We start from the raw sequence: 25154 nt of genomic DNA, 5'->3' as shown, positions 1-25154 counted from the left end.
GCCACTGCACTCCAGCCTGGGCAAGAGAGCAAGACCTTGTCTCTAAATAAATAAAGTATGAGGACTCAGTCTACCTGATGTCAAGACTATTACATCAATACAGTAATCAAGACTGTGTAGTGTTGGTGGAGGCATAAACATATACGTCACTGGAAGACAACAGAGAACCCAGAAATAATTCCATATAAGTATGCCTAATTAAATTTTTGATGAAAGTGCAAAGGCAATTCAATAGAGGAATGATAGCCTTTTCAACAAATGATGCCAGAGCAATTGGACACTCAGCAATGAAATGAACCTCAACCTAAGATTCATGTGTTGTATTACTTTCACGTGTCAGAGCAATTGGACACTCAGCAATGAAATGAACCTCAACCTAAGATTCAGGCATTGTATTCACACATTGTACTACCAAAATGAATTATGTACTTAAATGTAAAATGTAAAACTGTAAGACTTTTAGGAAAAAAAATAGGAGAGAAAAATCTGGGATCCAGGTTTAGGCAACAAGTTCTTGACAGCAAAAGCATGATCTATGTAAGGGAAAAATTGGACTTCATCAAAATTAAAAACATTTTTCTATGAAAGAACAAACATTTTTTAAAAATCCAATTAGAAAATGGGCAAATAATAAGAATACATTTCACTGAAGAGGATATACAGATGGCATACATGAAAATATATTCAACATTACTAGCCCTCAGGGAAATGCAAATTAAGGCCACTATACACCTATCAGAATGGCTTAAATAAAAAACAGTAATAACACCAAATCCTGGCTAGGATACAAAAAAACTGGATCACTCATACATTGCAGATGGGACTATAAAATGGTATAACTACTCCAGAACAGTTTGGAAGTTTCTTTAAAAACTATATATGCAACTACCATACAACCCAGCAACTGTATTCCTAGACATTTATTCCAAAGAAATGAAAACTTATATTCACATAAGAATTTATACACAAATGTTCATAGCAACTTTATCAGTAAAAGCCTCAAAGTGGAAACAAGATAGATGTCCTTCAATAGGTGGTTAAATTCTGCTATATCCATACCATGAAATACTACTCAAGCAAAAAAAGAAATGAACTATTAATATACACAATAACTTGGATGGATCTCCAGAGAATCATGCTGAGTGGAAAAAAAAGCAATCTTGAAAGGTTATATACTGTACAATTCTATTTATATAACATTCTTGAAGTGACAAAATTATAGAGATGGAGAACAGATTAATGGTTACCTGGAGTTAAGGCTGTGGTAGTGAGATGGGCGTCAGAGGGAAGCAGTGTAGCTACAGAAGGGCAAAGTGAGGAATGCTCGCAATAATGGAAGTGTTCTCTATCGTGACTGTATCACTGTCAATATCCTGGTTATAATATTGTACTATAGGTTTGCAAGATGTTACCATTGGAGAAAATTGAGTAAAGGGTATATGGGATCTCTCTGCATTTTTTTTTTTTTTTTTTTTTTTTGAGACAGAGTCTTGCTCTGTCACCCAGGCTGGAGTGCAGTGGTACAATCTCAGCTCACTACAACCTCCGCCTCCCGGGTTCAAGTGATTCTCCTGCCTCAGCCTCTCGAGTAGCTGGGATTACAGGTGCGCGCCAACATTCTGGCTAATTTTTGTATTTTTAGTAGAGACGGGGTTTCGCCACCTTGGCCCGGCTGGTCTCTAACTCCTGACCTCAGGTGATCCGCCCACCTCAGCCTCCCAAAGTGCCAGGATTACAGGCGTGAACCACCGCGCCCGGCCAAAATGAGAAGTTTTAATAGCTTCCCCAGGTAATAATTATTAAGCAAGCATGAAACACAGACCTAGAGCAGCCTCCAGTTTATACACACAGGACATTATGATGAAAGTATAAATTAAATCATAAAGAATGTTATTGTTTCCTCAAATGTTCAGAACTGTTTTATTAACTTTTTTTTTTTTTTTCAGTCGGGGTCTCACTTTGTTGCCTAGGTTGGAGTGCAATGGTGCAATCTCAGCTCACTGTAACCTCCACCTCCCGGGTTCAAGCAATCCTCCTGCCTCAACCTCCCAAGTAGCTGGGACCACAGGCATGCACCACCACCCTCGGCTAATTTTTGTATTTTTTGTAGAGACGGTGTTTCACCATGTTGCCCAGGCTGGTCTCAAACTCCTGGACTCAAGTGATCTGCCCACCCTGGGATTACAGGTGGGATTATAGGTATGAGCCACTGTGCCCAGCCTGGAGCTGGGATTACAGGTATGAGCCACTGCGCCCAGCCTGTTTTACTAACTTTGAGTGGTATCATATAGGCATTACTCACGGTCACTACTCAACAAATCCTTTCTACTGAATTGATTCCACTGATTTAAATAGGTTATTTAGAAAATAAAGCCAAATGAGACGTTAACCTGGTAACTACATTTTAAAATTGATCGTATTACACTATCATTCATTTATATGCTGTTTATTTGGCAAAGACTGATAAATTCCAAATAAGCAGGAACTTCTGCCTCTCCTGGATTATGTTAAGGATGGTACATTCAACGTTCAACAATATCCGCTCAATTATTATGTACTTGGCATGGTTTTATATGGGGTTATAAAACATTTCAAAACTGACTTGTGTAGTGTGACAAATCTCTCCCTCTATTTTTTTTTAAAGATAAGGTGTTACTCTGTCATCCACGCTAGAGTACAATGGCATGCGGCCTCGACCTCCTGGGCTCAAGCAGTCCTCCCACCTCAGCCTCCTGAGTGGCTAGGACTACAGGTGCGCTCCACCAACTCCAGCTAATTTTTAAATTTTTTGTAGAAACGGGGTCTCAGTATGTTGCTCAGGCTGGTCTCGAACTCCTGGCCTCCAGCAATTCTTCTGTCTCAGCCTCCCAAAGTGCTGGGATTATAGGCATGAGCTACCATGCCCAGCCTCAGGCAAATCTCTTAAGCAATAAGCTAATGCAATTATTTCTGAATACATAAAGATAAAATGCTAAAAACAACTGACAGTCTTACATTTGGAGATCAGTCCTTTAGCATTTAAATGTTCTTGTCAACTTAGGTTCGTTTTACTGACACATTTTCTTGGCTTTTACATTCTTATAGAAATGTAAATTGGCATGTATAATTGGATAACTCCAAACAACTACACATAAACATGTTTTTTTTATGTCTAGAGGGAAAAAATGTTAAATCACAAAAATCACTTTGCGCATCGATTGCTTCATGTATCAGAGGAATAATTTTTTTTCTTTTTTTTTTTTTTTGAGACAGAGTCTCACTCTGTGGCCAGGCTGGAGTGCAGTGGCGCGATCTCGGCTCACTGCAACCTCTGACTCCCTAGTTCAAGCGATTCTCCCACCTCAGCCTCCCGAGTAGCTGGGATTTACAGGCACGCACCACCATGCCTGGCTAATTTTTGTATTTTCAGTAGAGAGGGGGTTTCACCATGTTGGTCAGGATGGTCTCGATCTCCTGACCTCGTGATCTGCCCACCTCGCCCTCCCAAAGTGCTGGGATTCCAGGCGTGAGCCACTGCGCCTGGCCATCAGAGGAATAATTTTAATGTTTAAAATTCCAGCTCAATGTTGGGCACTTAGAAGCTACTAAGTAAGCATTTGCTGGTCTCCTTTATATAAACACATATAAACTACATAGCTTTGAGTTTAAAGTTTGGACATGTGTTTTTATGAAGATGTTGCTGCCAATTGTGAGCATGGACTAAGCACCTATCACGTTCCAAACCCGTGCTTTGTTCATGCTGGGGAAATGATTCTCAACAGAAAAGTGCATTCTGACGAAAAAGGTACTGCATTCCATTCCTTTCCTGTGTATAGATATAATTTAGATTAAAAAAATAAACTTGGCTTTAAAACAAGCAATAATGTTTGGGGAAAGCATTTGGCATATGGGAAGCAGTAGCAGCAAGACAATGCCTGCGTCCTGATGTCAGGCTGTGACATCCCAAAATGATATCCTAGTTAATGTTTCTGCCAAGACACTCTATGTTTAGGTCAGTGTTCTTAAAAGCGGGGGTGATTCTGCTCAGCAGACATCTGGTAATGCCTGGAAACATTTTAGGTTGTCACAGGGGACAGGAGTGCTACCTAATAGGTAGTGGCCAGGAATGCTGCTAAATGTCCTGTAATGCACAGGAGACCCCCACAACAAAGAGCCATCTGACCCCAAATGTCAAAGTACCAAGGTTGAGAAACTGGGGATCAGGTGAGTAGAAGAGGTCACACCAGCCCATGGAGGCTTGGGATACAGGATGGAGTGGGAGTTACTTCTGCTGTCACCTGCCCTGGACCGTGGCCCACTGCTATCCTACATGCAACACCATTTGTAGCATGTGCATGTCTACCTACAGGGTGCGCTTAGTTACTGGTAGCCCCAAGGCACCACCCATACCCATTGTATTTCCCCTGTAAAGGAACATTAAGAATGAGCCTCCAGAAGTAGAGTAGGATGGTGGTTACCACAGGGTGGCAGTGGGAGTAGACCAAGAAAGAGATGATGCTGGTGGAAGGTTTCAAGTAAGACACGAAGAATATGCTGTGGTGATCTACTGCACACCATGGTGATTGTAGTCAATAATAATGCATATATCAAAATGACTAAAACAGTGGATTTTAAATGTTCTCACCACAAAGAAATGATAACTACATGAAGTGATAATATGTTCATTGGCTTGATTCAATTATTCCACAAAGTATATATAGTTATGCACTGCATAATGACATTTCAGTCACAACAGACCACAAATATCATGATGGTCCAGTAAGATTAGGTTTTCTTTCTTGGTTTTTTTGTTTTTTTGTTTTTTTGTTTTGAGACAGAGTCTCACTTTGTCACCCAGGCTGGAGTGACATGCAGTGGCATGCAGTGGCATGATCTCACTTCACTGCAACCTCTGCTTCCCGGGTTCATATAATTCTCCTGCCTCAGCTTCCCAAGTAGCTGGGATTACAGGTGCCCACCACCAAGCCAGGCTAATTTTTGTATTTTTAGTAGAGATGGGGTTTCACCATGTTTGCCAGGCTGGTCTGTAACTCCTTACCTCAAAGTGATCCGCCCACCTTGGCCTCCCAAAGTGCTAGGATTACATATAGGTGTCAGCCACAACGCCTGGCCAAGGTCTAATAAGATTATAATGGAGCTAAAAACATTTCTATTGCCTAGTGACATCACAGATGTCTTAACATTATAGCGCAATGGATTACTCATGTGTTTGTAGTATGGTGGTGTAAATAAACCTACTGCTTTTTATAGTTATTTCAGAGTATACTCCTTCTACTTAGAAATGAAAGGTAACTGTAAAACAGCCTCAGACAGGTCCTTCAGGAGGTGTCCAGAAGGCATTGCTATCATAGGAGAGCTCCATGTGTGTTATTGCCCCAGAAGACCTTCCAGTGGGACAGGATGTGGAAGTGGAAGACAGTCATACTGATGATCTTGATACTGTGTAGGCCCAGGCTAATGTGTGTGTTTATGTCTTAGTTTTTGTTTTTTTTTTTTGAGACAGAGTCTCGCTCTGTTGCCCAGGCTGGAGTGCAGTCGCACAATCTCGGCTCACTGCAACCTCTGCCTCCCAGGTTCAAATGATTCTCCTGCCTCAGCCTCCCACGTAGCTGGGACTACAGGCGTGTGCCGCCACGCCCGGCTAATTTTTGTATTTTTAGTAGAGACGGGGTTTCACCATGTTGGCCAGAATGGTCTCCATCTCTTGACCTCATGATCTGCCTGCCTCAGCCTCCCAAAGTGCTGGGATTACAGGTGTGAGCCACCGCGCCCAGCCTGAAGTTTTCTAGATTGCTCGATATACCAACCAGCCTAATCAAAAGGGAACTGTTTTCACCTCAAGTTTCCAATGCTGTGAACAAAAAAAAAAAAAGAGGCCGGGCGCAGTGGCTCACGCCTCTAATCCCAGCACTTTGGAGGCTGAGGAAGGTGGATCACAAGGTCAGGCGTTCAAGACCAGCCTGGCCAACATAGTGAAACCCCGTCTCTACTAAAAATACAAAAATTAGCCGGGCATGGAGGTACGCATCTGTAGTCCCAGCTACATGGGAGGCTTAGGCAGGAGGATCACTTGAACCCAGGAGGCGGAGGTTGTGGTGAGCCGAGATTGCACCACTGCACTCCAGCCTTGGCAACAGAGCAAGACTCCGTCTCAAAAAAAAAGAAAAAAAAAACACAGCTGCCTACTGCTTGCAACCAAGCTGTAGCTCTTATTAAAGTAAAGAGAAGAGAGCCCTGGAGACCAGCAGAAACTCGACATTTGAAGTCAGGCCTCTACCTCCTGAGCTGGAGTCAGCAGCCTGGGATCCTCCAATGAATCATTCCCATCTTTACTGCCCTCTCCGATGTGGAACAGGATCGACAGAGTACATAAAAGAGAAGATAAAGCACCAAGGCCCATCAGGCATGGAAAGGAGAGCTAACAGCCCTGCAGGGCAGACCTGAGTCAGACGGATTTCAGCCTGCCACCAAACCCTGCCATCTGCTGCCACTTCCCCAAAGGGCCCACTCCTTTCTGCCCCTCCTCTTGACACAACACCCCCTATCTTGGCATGCCAGGGAGGCTGCTGTGTCAAGCCCTAGCATGTGGGCATTCTGGCAAATCACTGAGGTCTGGTGCTGAAGTTTTTCAAACTGGAAATGCACTTGCACCAGGACCACGTGATTTCTGACTTAAGTGAGGGAGGAAAAGAGATAATTAACTTAAAACCAGTACTGATCATGTGCTGGGAATTTTGCTAAGCCCCTAACCCAATACTTCTCATTAATCCTCACAGCCACCCTAGGTGGTAGATCTCAGCTCAGCGAGATCGAATGAGCTATCCAAGGTGGCATAGCTAGGATGCAGCTGGCTGGGAACTGGAACCCAAGTCCTGCTGACTCCCAAGACCCTCCAACCTGCCAGACATAGCTGGCAACCCGGGGAAGTCCTGAGGCCAGGCTCTTTCTGCAATTTGGAAAGGTGGGAGTCCTCACTAGTCCATGGACTGAGCTGGTTCACCCCAATGATGTAGACCCACTGACTCTTACCTGAGGGTGCAGAGGTGGGGGCTGTTATTCCCACACCTTTGGAATTGATTAATGCTCCCAACACTGGCCGTGCCATTTTCCAAGTAAGCATCCCCATTTGCAATTTGTTTTCCTGAGTTTCTGAAAGGGTATGTGGGATTTCACTGCACAGTAGTAGGTACTCAAAGGTACCTCGGTTTGGTGAAATTTTAGGAAAACTAAGTAGGAAAACGTATTTTGAACCTTTCTGGCCCCAAATTACTTTAGTGAGGCTACAAACACAAATTACTTTGAAATAAACGTGTTAAGTCGCTCAAGCCAAAACTTACGCAAACCTTCAAACCAGCCTAGCCCACGTAATTCTCTCTTCCCTTTCGGCACAGCTATCAGATGTGCCGTGAAACTTGAAGTACAGAAAAAGACACCAGCAGCTGTTCAGAGATGTTTTGCAGAACCTGTCAGTGTTCCCACCTCTCTACCCCTAAGGCAGAGCATCTCAACCCTGCTGCATTCTAGAATCACCTAGAGAACTTGAAAAGATACCTACACTTGTGCCCTCACAGATTCTGATTTAATTTGTCTGGCCTGGGCACAGGCATTAGCGGGTCTTCTGTTTTTTCTTTTTTTTTTTTTCCTTTTCTTTGAGACAGAGTCTCACTTTGTTGCCCAGGCTGGAGTAAAATTCACAATCTTGGCTCACTGTAACCTCTGCCTCTGTCTCCCAGGTTCAAGCGATTCTCGTACCTCAGCCTCCCAAGTAGCTGCGACTACAGGCGCACACCACCATGCTTGGCTAATTTTTGCAATTTTAGTAGAGACGGGATTTTACCATGTTGGCCAGGATGGTCTCGAACTCCTGACCTCAGGTGATCCCACCTGCCTCAGTCTCCAAAAGTGTTGGGATTACAAGCGCGAGCCACTGCCACCACACCTGGCCAGCAGGTCTTAAATGTTCCTCAGTTGATACTAATGTGCAGCCAGGGGTGAGAACCATTGTTCTAAACCTCTTAAAGAAATCGGGCCAGGCGCGGTGGCTCATGCTTGTAATCCCAGCACTTTGGGAGGCCGAGGTGGGCGATTCACAAGGTCAGGAGTTCGAGACCAACCTGGCCAACATGATGAAACCCCCATCTCTACTGAAGATACAAAAAAATTAGCCAGGCACGATGGTGGGCGCCTGTAATCCCAGCTACTCAGGAGGCTGAGGCAGGAGAATCGCTTGAACCTAGGAGGTGGAGGTTGCAGTGAGCTGAGATCAGGCCACTGCACTCCAGCCTGTGACAGAGTGAGAGACTCAGTCTCAAAAAAAAAAAAAAAACTAGGAAGCAGCTCCACACCACAAAAATAAAAAACCTTGCATGAGTGGAAGGAAACAGATGACGCAACCACCAACCAAACCTCATAATCTCCTCTACTCTCACCCATATCTCCCCACCTCCTCTTAAGGACTCAGCTCGTCTGTCTTTTTGGGGGTACGGTTGGTATCTAACCTGAGCCTCTAGAAATCCCTCACACTGGGCTCTGTAGTGGTGGCTCCCATAGGCACCACTCACACTATCTGCCAATGCCGTTTAAAGGAGCAAGAAAGAACTATTTCCCTCTGCTGGAGGAAATGAGTCTCTGAAGGATAGATGCCTTGACTAGAAAGTGGTGGATCTGGGAGAGGAGGCAGGCCTGTTTGTCTCCAGTGCCCATCAGCCACACCACCCCTCTGGGTTCACTCCGAAACTCACTTCTCCCCTGGCACTTTCTCTTCATAGGAAGGCCTGAAAAGAATGCTGAAAACAAGTGACCTGGCTGGAATCTACCACCACGCTACTTCTCTGCTCCAGGACCTTCCATGGCTCCCACTGGCTCACAGGGTAAATCCAAATTCCTCAGCCTAGCTTCCAAATTCTTCTACCACCTGACCAAACTGTCCTAACCCTTTCTTCCCATGCAAACCCTCCTCTACCCAGTCAGACTGTTTATAACCTAAATATCCCTTACTTATGCCCCTCTTTTCGCTGTTCTACCTATTCAAAATCACAGTGTCACACAGCACAACAGCTGCAGCCATAGGCAGCAGTCCACATCATCCTAGAGGACAGCAAGGTTTCTGAGGAAATTCTCATAGAATTCAGCTTGCAGGACTTCTGCTTAGCTCACTGGCCACCTGCCTGGCCACTTACAGTCCTTAATATTTCACTTAGAATTAGTGATTACTCCTTGCTCTGCTAAGTAGTCATTATTTACTGTCGTTTCATCTGCAGATTTTCAGTGCTAGAACCTACCTTTGTTTTGTTTCAATTTTTCTGCAATCTAATAATATGCAAAAACTGCCCCAAAACAAATGAAAATGTTAAGGGTTTTTAAAGGCATCTGAAGAATCATTACCGTATTAACCTAAATTTTGGCAGATGAATAAAGCCAAACGCATCTTCTTTTCAGCCACATGAAATAAATTTTGTTTAAAAATCTAATTCATAGAGACCGGGCACAGTGGCTCATGTCTGTAATCCCAGCACTTTGGGAGGCCGAGGCGGGCGGATCACGAGGTCAGGAGATCAAGACCATTCTGGCTAACACGGTGAAACCCTGTCTCTACTAAAAAATACAAAAAATTAGCCGGGCGTGGTGGCGGGCGCCTGTAGTCCCAGCTATTCGGGAGGCTGAGGCAGGAGAACGGCGTGAATCCGGGAGGCGGAGCTTGCAGTGAGCCGAGATCGCACCACTGCACTCCAGCCTGGGTGACAGAGCAAGACTCTGTCTCAAAAAAAAAAAATCTAATTCATAGAATCATGTGCTTTAACTTTAGCAAAAGAAGAGATGAAGCACACATTGCAAACACGCTTTGATCCCTGCAGTGAGATGAGCGTCATGATCATGCATGCTTCTCTTCTCCCTTCTCCGGGCCTTTTGAAGTCTACACTCTCCGCTGTGGGATGGTCTCCTGCCCTACCAGGAGAGCTGGTCTCCACACCGACTTCAAAGACAGCTGATGTTCCAGAGAAGAAAAACACTGCAAAGAAGCACTCCAAAATCCTTTTGACCTCAAACATGACTACAGAATGGATACAGCTTTTTAAATAGCCACTTCCTGCAGCATTCTATAGTATAATGACCCTTAAATGACACCCACGCAAATTACATAATTTGCTAAAATGGAAACCCAGTAATTCCATCTTACATCAAAGTAAAGAAAAAAAATACCAAACTTTAAAAATCTGAAGCTCAATTAAATAGTAATTAAAAACGAAATATAACTTTCACTTGTTCAATAATCCTCACAATGTCCTAAAACTCTACAAATGGATGAAGTGAACATGATCTCAGAGAACTACCCACTACATGTTTAGTAGGCTAGAATAGACAACAACATAGAAACTCGGATCCGCTGGAAATGATGCTTTTTCTTTGGGCTCTGGTATCTGAGGTGGCCAGCTCCTCATCCCTCACGCCCTTCACTGGCACTGACCTGAGTACCTGCTGGAGACTGAAGCGCTCCCTCCTGGGCCATGTCTCCTCTACCTTCCCCCTTTTCCACTGCCTCAAAGACAGGCCCCCTGGGAGCCCTTCTGGAACCTGAAGGAGGAGCTGGTCACTGTGTCATGATCAGCCACAATGTGCCATCCCTCCTCCATAGCACAGCCACAAGTCCCCAGCAGGGGAGGGCACACATTTTCCAGTCACAGAGATCTGGAACGAAGCCCAACGACTGCTTATTAGCTTTGCAGCCTAACTTCTCTGTGCTTCAGTTTCCTCACCTGCTAAATCACACCTTCAGAGTCATGGTGAATATGAAAGAAGACAGTATATTTAGAGCAGCCAGCACAATGGCCAGCTTTGTAACTGTTTTCTTCCCTGCTAAGAAAATAGCAAACACAAAGTGTCTGCAGGTGAGTATATCACGACTCTAATCAGCAAGCACAGAAGACGGTGGCAGCACTGTGAAGAGCACCCAGAAAAAACAAAAAGCAGCCATTCTCTTTAAATATGAGAAACAATTGTATCAGTCTCTGATTTCTAAGAAGGAGTACCATGACTCCAGCCTCTGTTGTCCTAGATTCTATGCCCACTTTTGGCTATTTTTTTTTTCCTACGTTTTTCAGGTTATCCTCAATGAGCATAAATTATTTTTACAATCAGGAAAAACAATTTTTGGAAAAGTTTCTCAGTTTGCTACACATGTAATTTAAAACATGATACTTTAAAATAAGAAATCCTGGCCAGGCACGGTGGCTCACACCTGTAATCTCAGCACTTTGGGAGGATGAGGCAGGTGGATTGCATGAGCCCAGGAGTTCAAGACCAGCCTGGGCAACATGGTGAAACCCTGTCTCTACAAAAAATACACACACACACACACACACACACACACACACACACACAAATAGCTAGCTGTGGTGGCGCACACCTGTAGTCTCAGCTATTTGGGGGGCTGAGGCGGGTGGATCACTGAAGCCCAAGAAGGATCATTTAAGCCCAGGGAGATGGAGGCTGCCGTGAGCCGTGATTGCACCACTGCACTCCAGCCTGGGCGATAGAGTGAGACCCTTTCTTGGAAAAATAAAATAAATTAAATAAGGAATCCTGAGTAATAAAGATTGAGATCATCTGAGCTTGGGTAAGAGCCTGGTATGTTATCAATGATAAATGCACCTTTTTTCCTTTGACAAGGGAGCTTTTGGTCATTTTACTACTCATCAGTACTTTCTGTGCTGGGGAGACTGGGAAAACAGAAGATGAAAGTAAAGTAAAGGAGCTCTTCTACTTGTAACAGGGCTGCTAAAGCATTTAGTGGGAGAGAAGCTTGAAACTATAGGCTGAAGTCAAGCTAGAAGTCCCTACTGGTTTTAATAATGGTCACCATCACTTAGGATAACGTACATATAAATCTATCCTTCCTACTCTGAGAAGGTTGCTGTGTCATCCTGAGACACTAGCTCCAATTTCATAACCAACTGTGGAAGTGACCACAGTACACATGCCATGCAGACACATATCTTCAGAGAGGGAGGTATAACTGCTCTGCTTATGGGGCACTTACTCTCTGCCTTCTAGCCCTCAGTTTACTCCATCTCCCAACAATGTCTGAAGGGAGGCGTCACTACATCTCTTATACAACAAAAACCCTGAAGCTCAGAGAGGGTAGATGCCTTAAACAAGGGCGCACCACTAGTATGTGATGAGAATAGACTCCACCCCAGGCCAGTCTGACCCAGGGGCACAGCGGTTCCTACCTTCTATGCCCTTGGACACAATACTTTCACATGCTCCAAGGACTCATTTTGATGAACAGAGTGCAGCTGGACAGGCAGAACCAGTCTATCAAGTCAGGGGGAAGCTGACAGGGTGAAGGGCAGAGTAAGGACAAGAACCCGGGCCTGGAGAATATGAGTTACTATAGCAATAGAGCTCTCAGAATACCACAACCACCTGGTTTTAATACCCCTATACTTTGCAGCCTACCTCCTACTACATGGACACAAACTGCTGGAGCTGAATGTAATGTGAGCACCACCTAGAAGTTATGTACAAGTAAGAAACTATTTTTTCTCCAAAATGTTAAGCAAGCCCCATAATGTACATTAGGCAGTTAAGAAGCAGTCGAAAGGAACATTTTTATAAGAACATGCCTAAAGTGGACATCAGGTTTATGTGATCCTCAGCAATTTGAATAGTAGTTAATTTCAGTTGTACAAAAACGGAACAGGGTCCTCCACAAAGCTGTTTTGCTTCTACACTGTGCTCCTGTTAAACTCCCCAAGGTACTAATAACGGTTGCACCTCAGTGAGCTTCCTTCCTGTGTGTTACTCTTAAAAACCACAGAGGCTCTGGGACTCAGTAGTCACAAAACCCCAATGGCTGCAGGGCTAGCAGGTTCTATCCGTTAAGCTCAGTCTTTCTCAACCAGTTCAGCAGTTTGAAGAGAGCAGTGACCTAAGGCTTGATATCCAATATGGTAGCCACTATGCACAAGGGACTACTGAGCTCTTGGAATGTGGATAGGGTGACGAAGGGACTGAATTTTTAGCTTAATTTTATTAGCCTAGTGGCTAAAATACTGGATAGTGTGCAGTTACAGACTGTTTATTTGCAGGTATAAACACAGATATTTATGAAAATGTGGCCAGGTGCTGTGGCTCATGCCTGTAATCCCAGCTCTTTGGGAAGCCGAGGAGGGTAGATCATTTGAGGTCAGCAGTTCAAGACCAGCCTGGCCAACATGGTGAAACCCCGTCTCTACTAAAAATACAAAAATTAGCCAGGCGTGGTGGCAGGAGCCTGTAATCCCAGCTACTCAGGAGGCTGAGGCAGGAGAATCGCTTGAACCGGGGAGGCAGAGGTTGCAGTGAGCCAAGATCACATCACTGCACTCCAGCCTGGGCGACAGAGTGAGACTCCGTCTCAAAAAAAAAAAAAAAAGATATTTATGAGAATGAAAGCATACTAAACATAGTGTGTTATGACTTGCTTTTTCTCTCACTTAATATAACATGGATCTCTCTCCATAACAACACATTTGGGATTTTATTTTTAATTTCTTTTGGAGATGGGGTCTGGCTCTGTCGCCCAGGCTGGAGTGCAGTGGTACAACCATAGCTCACTGCAGCCTTGAACTCCTGGGCTCAAGTGATCCTCCCACCTCAGCCTCCCTAGTAACTGGGGCTACAGGCATGAGCTACCATGCCTGGCAAATATTTTTAATGTCTGTATCTCTGCTGCCTAGTAGCCACAAGCAATATGTGGCTACTGAGCATCTGATATGTGGCTAGTCCCAATTGAGATATGCTGTAATTGTAAAATACACACCAGATTTCAAATACTTTTATGACAAGAGGAATGCAAAACATATTAATTAAAAAAAAGTACAGACAGGGTCTCACTCTGTTACCTAGGCTGGAGTGCAGTGGTGCAATCATAGCTCACTGCAGCCTCCACTGCCTGGGCTCAAGGGATTCTTCTACTCAACCTCCTGAGTAGCTGAGACTACAGGTATGCCACCACACCTGACTTTTTTTTTTTTTTAAGTTTTGTAGAGACTAGATCTTGCTATATTGCTTAGGCTGGTCTCGATCTCCTGGCCTCAAGCAATCCTCCCTCCTCAACCTGCCAAAGTGCTGAGATTACAGGCATTAGTCACTGCACCTAACATAGTAATAATTTTTATAATGATTCCATGTTGAAATTATAATATTTTGGATATATTGGGTTAAATATATTATTTAAATTAATTTCACCTGTTTCTTTTTACTTTTTTAACATGGCTACTAGAAAATGTAAAGTTACATATGTGGCTAGCATTATACTTCCATTGGACAGCACTGCCCTAAGGCCTCTGTCGTATGTAGTGAATTAACTCCATCCCTATGCAGCCAGAATGGAAGAACTGAGAAAACGGTCACACAAATCATTGTCTGGTTCTGTGGTTCAGAAGGAGACCACTAGCTTGTCCTCTTTCAACCAATGCTTAGTGGAGCCATCAATCAGGTCCACCACTCTGTAGGCCCTGACAACAGATCAGCTTAGGGATGGCTGCCAACTCTTACCTCTTTCATTCAAAGTTCACTAGTCAGCTGGGCACGGCAGCTCACACCTGTAATCCCAGCACTTTGGAAGGCAGAGGTAGGTGGATGACTTGAGGTCAGAGTTCAAGACCAGCCTGGCCAACATAGCAAAACCCCACCTCTACTGAAAAGACACAAAAATTAGCCGGGCACGGTCTCACGCGCCTGTAGTCCTAGCTACTTGGGAGGCAGGAAAATCACTTGAACCCGGGAGGTGAAGGTTGCGGTGAGCCAACTTCACACCACTGCACTCCAGCCTGGGCAACAGAGTGAGACTCAGTCTCAAAAAAACAAAACAAAGTTCATTAGCCTCATAGAAACCTTCAATCTTACTCTTTTTGCACCTCATTTTCTTCAACTACAAAACTGGGATAATAACTAATGCAATTCAAACTATCATGAAGGTAAAACAAAAATCTAGAAAAGTTTGGCAATTTCTTATAAAGTTTAGCCTATCACTCAGCAATTCCATTCCTAGGCATTCACTCAGGAGAAATGAAAAAATATATCTACACAAAGACTTTACCCAAATATTCATGGCAGCTGTATTTATAATAGCCCCAAACTGGAAATAACCCAAATATCTACCAACTGGTGAATGGATAACAAATGTTAAATCCATACAATGGAATACTACTCAGTAATAAAAAGAAACATATAACATCATAGAAGAATTTCAAAGCTTTACGTTAAGTAAAAGAAGCCAGACCAAAAAAAGACTATATTGTATAAGATTCCACTTATAGATGACATTCTATTAATAGAAAGGATTAAACAATAGTAACAGAAAGCAGATCAGTAGTTCCCAGGGACCAGAAGGAGGGCAGGGTCTGCAAAGGGGCACCAAGGAAACAACTGGAGCGATGAAAGTGGGTGTGTATATATATATTTGTCAAGATTTATCAAATTGTATACTTAAAATAGGTGAATTTCATTGTATGTAAATTTTACTTCAACAAAGTTGACCAGAAAGAGAGAAACAGAGAGAGAAAGAATTATCTAATCCCTTGAGCCCAGGAATTCGAGACCAGCCGGGACAACATAGTGAGACCTCGTCTTTATAAAAAATGAACATGGCCGGGCACGGTAGCTCACAACTGTAATCCCAGCACTTTGGGAAGCCGAGGCAGGTGGATCACTTGAGGTCAGCAGTTTGAGATCACCCTGGCCAACATGGTGAAACCCCATCTCTACTAAAAATACAAAAAAATTAGCCGGGCATGGTGGCACGCGCCTGTAGTCCCAGCTACTCAGGAGACTGAGGAAGGAGAATGGCTTGAACCTGGGAGGCGGAGGTTGCAGTGAGCCGAGATCGCACCACTGCACTCCAGCCTGGGTGACGGAGCCAGACTCCGTGCCCCCCACCCCACCCTCCCAAAAAAAGGACACAATTAGCCACATGTGGTGGCATGAGGCTGTGGTCCTAGTTACTCAGGAGGCTGAAGTGGGAGGACCGCTTAAGCCCAGAAGGTTGAGGCTACAGTGAGCCAAGATCACGCTACTGCACTCCAGCTTGGTGACAGAGTGAGACTCTGTTTCAAAAAAAAAAAGAAAAGAAAAAAGAAAAATAATTATAGAATTACTATAAAGCACTTGGCTTGGCACATAGTGAAAGCTTAAACAATGTCATCTATTATGACAAGTAACACTCCCTTTTCAGTATTACTCAAGGTGTCTAAAACCAAACAGACTCATCATCTTCCTGGGAAAACCAGCTACCCTTCATCTACCTTGTACTACTTCTCTAATAATTTCCTGATGCCTCTGTTTCCCTTGTGGCCTCTACTTGGCAGACTTTTCCTCTATTGTGTTCCTCCCCTCTCCCTGCCATAGACCTGAGCTGTGGCCTCTCTAACTTCACTGTTCCATTAGCATCCTTGACTCTCTTCTCTCCTTCCTTCACCCTTTCCACTGCACCTTGCACACAGACAGCAAATTAAGCTTCCTAAAATGCCACTTTTATGAGCCACACCTCCACCCAAACCCCCCCTCACTGTTGTTCAGATTCCTTAGCCTGGCATCCAAGAGGCCCCACAATTGGCTCTAACCTTTCTTTTCCATCTTTTACCCCACCCCAGAATCTTCACCAATAAACCCAGTTGGAATGAATGAACAAAGAAGGCAGGAACCAAGTCTGTCTTGCTTAGACCTGTACCCCAAGTGCCTAGGCCATGCCAGGAACACAGGGCATACTCACAGCAGTATCTGCTGAATGAACTAATGAACTCCTGAAGTCTACAAATGCAACCTTGACCTCAGAGAAGAATCATTCTTCAGATTTTTAAACTGAGATCCTTATGGTGGGTTACTAAGAGTCTGGAAGAGGATGAACAACGAGGTGCCCCAGAAGGTGTTTCAGGATATATACGTTAAAGGCTATAAGGCTTCTGTTTCTACTTTTCAAAAATAATAACTTAAATATCGATAAAACAATAACATAAATATTTTTTCCCTTTAACCTAGAATAGAGTAGGAGCTTCCAAATGGGCACACAGGAAGCATGGGATGAGTTGTGGAAGTCATGAGTATGCTCATAACTCAGTTGGTTTATCACAGTTTTTACCATTACACAGTATTTTAATTGACTTTGCTCTTAGTCATATATGATTTCATTTACATCCATAATAAACCGCTGACTAAATGTAGGCTCAAGCAATGCCAATGACAAAACACATGTTAGTGAGAAGTTAGTGAGAAATACAAGTGAGAATTATCATAAAAACGGTAATTCTACAAGTTGTCTGAAGATGCTGTTTCTCAGGGCCTTAAGTTGTATTCCTCTGAACACAATTTAAAAATATATATAGTTCAGATCCCAAACAATTTTTAGTAATATACTGATCTAAATAAAATATTTTTATATTTAAAATAACTTCCAGAGAGTCTGTACCATTCCCTATTACTATGAAAGGAGTTTGCAAGTTAGAAAAGGCTGAGGCATACTGATTTAGAACGTTTTCTCTAAAATGCTGGCTCCTCTGTTAACCACTCCGAGTTCCCTAAGCCCCAGGGAGGACCTGACCAGCCTCTCCCCTGTGCCCTGCTCTCCCAGGCAGAGGGGCCCTTTAGTACTTTGCTTCATCTTTGCTTTTGTGGCTGCTATATTGACTAGGATGTCAGCTCCCTGCTTCATTCATCTTTTTATCTTAATAGGCAGTACAGTGCCTGGCACGCAGAAGACTCTTTTTAAGTATCTGTTAATGTTCCTGAGATCAAATGTCTATGTACTGATGTTGGAACCCCTTTAGGGATTAACAAAAACTGAGAGGGGAAGAGCTGAAATGGGCATTTGCTGGGGGCTGCCTCCCTTCAGGTCTGGCCTCCGGGAGCTCATGGCTGAGCCCTATGGCCTGCCCACTTGTTTTTTGTTTTGTTTTGTTTTGTTTTGAGATGGAGTTTCACTCTTGTTGCCCAGGCTGGAGTGCAATGGTGCAATCTCGACTCACTGCAGCCTCCGCCTCCAAGGTTCAAGCGATTCTCCTGCCTCAGCCTCCTGAGTAGCTGGGATTACAGGTGCCCACCACCATAACTGGCTAATTATTTGTGTATTTTTTAGTAGAGATGGGGTTTCACCATGTTGGCCAGGCTGGTCTCGAACTCCTGGCCTCAGGTGATCTGCCCATCTTGGCTTCCCAAAGTGCTGGGATTACAGGCATAAGCCACTGTGCCCAGCCGACCACTTGTCTTTTCCGTCACCACTGAACACCAATAGCCAGCTCTGCAGCCTGGTAAGGAGGCCCTGAGCTGCATCTCCCAAGCATGGCTGTCAAAACGTGTTACTCCAGGGTAAAAAGGAAAAAACAGGGGGAAACCTACTCTTGGAGGTGTCACTGATGTTTTTTGCCACATATTAGCAAAGTAATCACAGTTGACAGTGAGACAAACTTTTAAATAAATAATTTTCCTTTTCCCATTCAAAACATATATTTGAATGCCAAAAAAGCACTAAGTAGTACGCCAGTGCTCTGGCAAATACAACAGTAATAAACAACAAAACAAATGACATTTATGTGCTGGGCTTTGTTCTGAATACTCCATGTGGATGAGCTCGGTTAATCCTTACAGCAGTCCTAACATACTCTTTCTATCCTCACTTTACAGATGAAGAAACTGAGGCTGGAGAAATCAAGCGGCAATTTGTCCAAGGTCATTAAGCCATTGTCGCTCTTCCCAATTATATACAGTTTTACCTGTGTGTGACTGGGGGAGGGGGGTTATAAACAGAAAACAAGGTAGTAAGAAATAATAGGTGTATAAAATGAGTGTACCTTTGAGGCAGATATACTCTATGGGAATTTCAGAGGAAGGAAAATTATATCCAGCTTGGCAGACAAGAGGCAGAAGTACCCCGTAACCCGCTTGGCAGGTACAATGGTCAGCAGCAGTACATAAGAGCTTTACCTCCAATAATGGCATTCATTCTCAAATTCACTTATTCAGCAAATGTTTGCTGTAGGCTTACTATCTATGTGCCAGGGACTGGGCTAGTTTGAAATTGAATCAACCCAGCAATACATAGACAATAAAGTCTGGATTTAGAGAAAAAAATAAAACAAGCCTCAAAGAGGCAGAACAAGCTGCCTGCGCCCCTTACCATCTACAGAGTGGGAAGAAGCAGAGGTGTGTCTTCTATGCACAGACCCTCCTGTCCACCCTCAACAGCATGAGCCCCTAGAGCAGCGACTGCTCACCACTGCATTCCTGGAGACCACAACACTCACCAAAGAGTGGGAGCTTGAGAAGTGCCTGTGGAATGTGGAATAAACCAGTGCCAGGCTGCTGGTGAATATGGTGGGCTACATGGTCACATGCATAGATGCCTACAGCATGGCAGTGTGACACTCAGCCATTCCCTGTGCTCTCACGGACCAGCAGGGTGCTTGATGCTGCCTGATGCTAGAGGTCTGGTGTGAGCAGACCCATTTCTTTCTGGCTTCATTTCCCTCTACTTCTGGCAAGAGGAACGTATGCAGGACTAAAGTGCAATGAGTCCCTGCCCAGGAATCACTTGTTACCTGGTGGAAGGGCAGGCTCAAAAGGAAGGCAATGAATGAACGACACTGCTTTCCCTTTTCACCACTACAGGTGGCTCTTAGACATTTTGAGATCCAGGATTCTCCCATACCAACACTCCATTCACTTCCCTCCAGTCCAGCAAAAAAGCCTCAACTGAATTAATGAGGAGAAATGACCTATTTCTGATGAGCACATCAAAGAAATGTGAGCAGCCTTGTTTAAATATTATAAAGAGGTGCTGCGACAGCAGGCAGAGCCGTGCCTAGAACCCTGCTCTCCGGCACAGAGCCCTTTGCCCTTCCCCATGCCACTGTCTAATAAGTCATCTGTGCACACACTTAAACGCGCCAGGCAAGCTGCAACCCAAAGCAATTTGTTTTCAAACTAAGAGGACATAGTTCATCTATTGTTCTAAATACAGGATTTTCTTAAAGTAGGATATAGATGGTATTATAGTACATTTTTCAGATGCACATATTTCACCAACTAAAATAAGTAATACTCCAAGTTTACAGTTTTAAAAAGTTTTTCTTTCTTTTTTTCTTTTCTTTTTTTTTTTTTTTTTGAGACAGAGTCTCACTCTGTGGCCCAGGCTGGAGTGCACTGGCATGATCTCAGCTCACTGCAACCTCTGCCTCCCAGGTTCAAGCGATTCTCGTGCCTCAGCTTCCTGAGGAGCAGGGACTACAGGCATGCACTACCTTACCTGGCTAATCTTTGTATTTTTAGTAGAGACAGGGTTTCACCATGTTGCCTAGGCTGGTCTTGAACTCAAGCCATCCACCTACCTCAGCCTCTCAAAGTGCTATGATTACAGGCAAGAGCCACCGTGCCTGGCCTAAAAAAGTTTTTCCGGCAGTGATTCTTACCCTAAGATCCAAAGCCTAAGAATGGGCTTCAGGTCAGTGAGGTTCTGAGAGTTCACAAAGACATGTTTATGGGTATTTATGAACAGGGAAGCAGTCCCTGTGATGAGATCCTTAAAGGAGTTGGGCCCGAAGAGCTAAAGAACTTGTGCTTAGAATACTTTCTGAAACAATTCCGATAACAATAGAACTTAGTTGTTTCTTGGAGTTTGGTAATCAGGTGTTTATATTAAATTAGTTTAGTAGCCTTGTAGGTTTAAAAAAAAAACATTCTGAGTTATAAAACAGGGTGATGACTAAGGCTTCTTTTTGGGGTACTGAAAAGTTTCTGGCCAGGCGCGTTGGCTCACGCTTGTAATCCCAGCACTTTGGGAGGCTGAGGCAGCCAGATCACCTGAGGTCAGGAGTTTGAGACCAGCCTGGCCAACATGGTGAAACCCCATCTCTACTAAAAATACAAAAATTAGCCAGGCGTGGTAGCGGGTGCCTGTAGTCCCAGCTACGCAGGAGGCTGAGGCAGAAGAATCACTGGAACCCAGGAGGCGGAGGTTGCAGTGAGCCAAGATCACACTGCTGCACTCCAGCCTGGGCAACAAAGCAAGACTCCTCACCAAAAAAAAAAGAAAAGAAAAGAAAAGAAAATGTTCTAAGATTGATTATGGTGATGAATACACAACTCTGTAAATATACCAAAAGCCATTGGATTGTATGCTTTAAATGAGTGACTCATATGGTATGTGAATTATATAAAGTTTTGTTTTGTTTTGTTTTTGAGATAGAGTCTCACTCTGTCATCCAGGATGCAGTGCAGTGGCATGATCTTGGCTCACTGCAACCACCGTCCCCTGGGTTCAAGCAATTCTGCTGCCTCAGCCTCCCAAGTAGCTAGTATTACAGGCGTGCACTACCACTCTCAGCTAATTTTTGTACTTTTAGTAGCGACAGGGTTTCCCCATGTTGGCCAGGCTAGTCTCAACCTCCTGACCTCAAGTGATCTGCCTGCCTCAGCCTCCCAAAGTGCTGGCATTTCAGGCATGAGCCACCATGCCTGGCTCAAAACACTTGATATTTTAACTTCAGCTAAAAATGGTTACTTACCCTAAATGTGGTTGTCAGCAAGGTGAGCTGAAGACTAAATGGTCAATCTGAAGAAACTCTCCTCCTCCTGAGGTCCAAGTATTTACCAAAGATAAAGCACTTGTTCCATACTCCTAAGTCAAAAGTTTCAAACCACAAATGAAGGGCCACTGTCATCTCTTCTGAAGAGGAGTCAACTTTAACTTCCCCCTGTACATACTTGGTGCTTGCAAAGGAAGGCACTGATAAGAATGACTTCTAGTTTAAGGAAAAAAAAAAAAAAGGAAAAACTCTATTACTCCCCCTCTGGTATCCCAAACACTTAAGCTCTTATGACTTCTAAAATGGGATCCATTTCCCCCTTTCTCAGGGTGCTAAAAGCTGGAACATAAAGGAGATTCATTTCCTATGACGCTACCCCAAAATCTCTAGCAGCCTAAAAAGAAACCACTACCTGCCCTGCAGTGAGGAACAGAGGGTTTACTTTACTTGCTCCAAATAAGTAAACCCATTTAAACTTTTTTTTTTTTTGAGACAGAGTTTCCCTCTTGTTACCAAGGCTGGAGTGCAATGGTGCCATCTTGGCTCACTACAATCTCCACTTCCTGGGTTCAAGGATTCTCCTGCCTCAGGCTCCCGAGTAGCTGGGATTACAGGCATGCGCCACCACGCCTGGCTAATTTTGTATTTTTAGTAGAAATGGGGTTTCTCCATGTTGGTCAGGCTGGTCACAAACTCCTGACCTCAGGTGATCCATCCACCTCAGCCTCCCAAAGTGCTGGGATTACAGGTGTGAGCCACCACACCAGCCTTAAACTTTCGATCAACAATCTAGGCTTGGTGCGGTGGCTCACACTTGTAATCCCAGCACTTTGGGAGGCCAAGGTGGGAGGATCACTTGAGGCCAAGAGTTTGGGACCAGCCTGGGCAACATGGGGAGGCCCTGTCTCGACAGAAAATTTAAAAATTAGCCAGGTATTGTGATGCGTGTCTGTAGTTCCAGCTACTCAGGAGGCTGAGGCAGAAGGATTGTTTGAGCTGGAGAGGTCAAGGCTACAGTAAGCCAAGATTACTCCACACTGCCCTCCAGCCTGGCTGACGGAGTGAGACCCTGTCTTAAAAAAAAAAAAAAAAAAATCGGCCAGGCGCAGTGGCTGGGGCCTGTAATCCCAGTACTTTGGGAGGCCAAGGCGGGTGGATCACCTGAGGTCAGGAGTTCAAGACCAGCCGGGCCAACATGGTGAAACCCCGTCTCTACTAAAAATACAAAAAAAATTAGCCAGGCATGGTGGCAGTCGCCTGTAATCCCAGCTACTCGGGAGGCTGACGCAGGAGAATCGCTTGAATCCAGGAGGTGGAGGTTGCAGTGAGCCGAGATCGCGCCATTGCACTCCAGCCTGGGCAACAACGGTGAAACTCCATCTCAAAAAAGAAAAAAAAATCTATATATTGAACAATCTCAAGATCACAATCCATATGGAAGCTAAGTACCCATGGGTGGCTCTTTCCACTGTTCCCTAGGGAAGCAAAACATGTAACTATCTTTTCACATGAAATAAACCTCAGCCCCAGAATCTTAGATTTCTTCCTAGTAATTATAGTCAGGTACTCGGATTTATATTCTTATTACGAGAAATCTTTCTCATGGGATAGTCCTCAAAACAGATGATATACAGGGATTGAGTATCACCAGCCCATAAATTAGGCTGCAAAAAAAACCAACTTCTGGCTGGGCACGGTAGCTCATGCCTGTTATCCCAGCCCTTTGGAAGGCCGAGGCAGGCAGATCACTTGAGGTCAGGAGTTCAAGACCAGCCTGGCCAACGTGGTAAAACCCCGTCTCTACTAAAAATACAAAAATTAGCCGAGCATGGTACGTGGCGCCTGTAATACCAGCTACTCGAGAGGCAAGGCAAGAGAAGCACTTGAACCTGGGAGGCGGAGATTGCAGTGAGCTGAGATCGCACTACTATACTCCAGCCTGGGCAACAGAGTAAGACTACGTCTAAAAAAAAAAACAAAAAAAAACAAAAAAAAACCCCCCACAAAACCCAACAACAACAAAAAAACCAACGTCTTCAATAGGAAGAGACAACTTACAATCTCTAAATGAACTAATTACCAGTACCTAAAAGCTTTCAACTCAGGGTTTTCCGACTGCGTCCATCTCAGATTTCCAGGACAAGTGGGGAAAAATACATAACCACATAGAATAGATGCCCAGAAAATAACTGCTCTTATATTTTATTATAATGTGTGGAAGTGCTGCAAGATGGCTGAGTGCAGTGGCTCACGCCTGTAATCCCAACACTTTGGGAGGCTGAGGCAGATAGATCACCTGAGGTCAGGAGTTCAAGACCAGCCTGGCCAACATGGTGAAACCCTGTCTCTACTAAAAATACAAAAATTAGCCGGGTGTGGTGGTGGGCGTCTGTAATCCCATCTACTCGGGAGGCTGAAGCAGAATTGCTTGAACCCGGGAGGCAGAGGTTGCGGTGAGCCGAGATCGCGCCACTGCACTCCCACCTGGGGGACAGAGCAAGACTCCAGCTAAAAAAAAAAAAAAGAAAAAGGAAGTGCTGCAAGTTACCTATCACACAGTATGCAAACATCTTTAAAAGAATTTTTTTTTTTAAGACGGAGTCTTGCTCTGTCGCCCAGGCTGGAGTGCAATGGCACAATCTTGGCTCACTGCAACCGTCACCTCACAGGTTCAAGCAATTCTCCTGCCTCAGCCTCCCAAGTAGCTGGGATTACAGGCACACCCCACCATGCCCAGCTAATTTTTGTATTTTTAGTAGAGACAGGGTTTCACCACGTTGGCCAGGCTGTTCTCGAACTTCTGACCTCAGGTGATCCACCCGCCTCAGCCTCCCAAAGTGCTAGGATTATGGGCATGAGCCACCGCGCCTGGCCTAAAGAAACTTTTTTTTTTTTTTTGAGACGGAGAGTGCAATGGCGTGATGTCGGCTCACTGCAGCCTCCACCTCCCGGGTTAAAGGGATTCTCCTGCCTCAGCCTCCCAAGTAGCTGGACGACAGCCATGTGCCACCACGCCCAGCTAATTTTGTATTTTTAGTAGAGACTGAGTTTTACCATGCTGGTCAGGCTGGTCTCGAACTCCTGACCTCAGATGATCTGCCTGCCTCGGCCTCCCAAAGTGCTGGGATTACAAGTGCGAGCCACCACGCCTGGCTAAGAAATTTTTAAAGTATTCAGTATAACTTAGAATTCTAAAGAAACTTCCAAGTAGCATTCTAAAAGGAAGTTCAAATTCTGATACTGAGTACTAGATTACCCTAAAATTTCAGGATCTGAAAGCAGCAATGTCTCCTAATTTGCCATTACATTTGAATAGTTATTCTGGTGATAAATAAATAAAGTTTAAAAGTCTATAAAAAGGGTCGGGTCACTGATGAGAAGCTGAAGATCAATAAACCAAGCCACTAAAACCATCTGTTTTATGAATGGTAAAGATCCTAGTTGAGGCCAGGTACAGTGGCTCACACCTATAATCCCAGCATTTTGGGAGGCCGAGGCAGGAGGATCACTTGAACTCAGGAGTTTGAGACCAACCTGGACAACATAGCAAGACACCATCTCTACTAAAAATCAAAGAATTAGCCAGGTATGGTG

General features: G+C 44.3%; 1 protein-coding gene and 1 long non-coding RNA gene across 61 annotated transcripts in view, besides 1 other annotated feature; one reads left to right on the top strand and one right to left on the bottom strand.

Moving 5' to 3' along the window:
- Positions 1-25154, bottom strand: part of PXK (PX domain containing serine/threonine kinase like) — a 93236-nt gene that overhangs the window by 63353 nt on the left and 4729 nt on the right. The gene's annotated exons all lie outside the window — the stretch shown is intronic.
- On the top strand, positions 8432-10248 carry LOC105377106 (uncharacterized). The gene is made up of 3 exons (XR_940876.3): positions 8432-8480; positions 8769-8870; positions 9806-10248. It is a non-coding gene; the product is annotated as an uncharacterized LOC105377106 (long non-coding RNA).
- Positions 12990-13269: an enhancer, noted in NCBI's record as "active region_20010". NCBI's record gives its function as "activates an Ori minimal core promoter by ATAC-STARR-seq in GM12878 lymphoblastoid cells {active_cell/tissue: GM12878}" and the evidence as "EXISTENCE:reporter gene assay evidence [ECO:0000049][PMID:35858748]".

The sequence above is a fragment of the Homo sapiens genome, chromosome 3, assembly GCF_000001405.40.
Source record: "Homo sapiens chromosome 3, GRCh38.p14 Primary Assembly".
In the NCBI taxonomy this organism is placed as follows: Eukaryota; Metazoa; Chordata; class Mammalia; order Primates; family Hominidae; genus Homo; species Homo sapiens.
The sequence above is the reverse complement of the archived record's forward strand: the minus strand, read 5'-3'. Positions and strand labels throughout refer to the sequence as shown.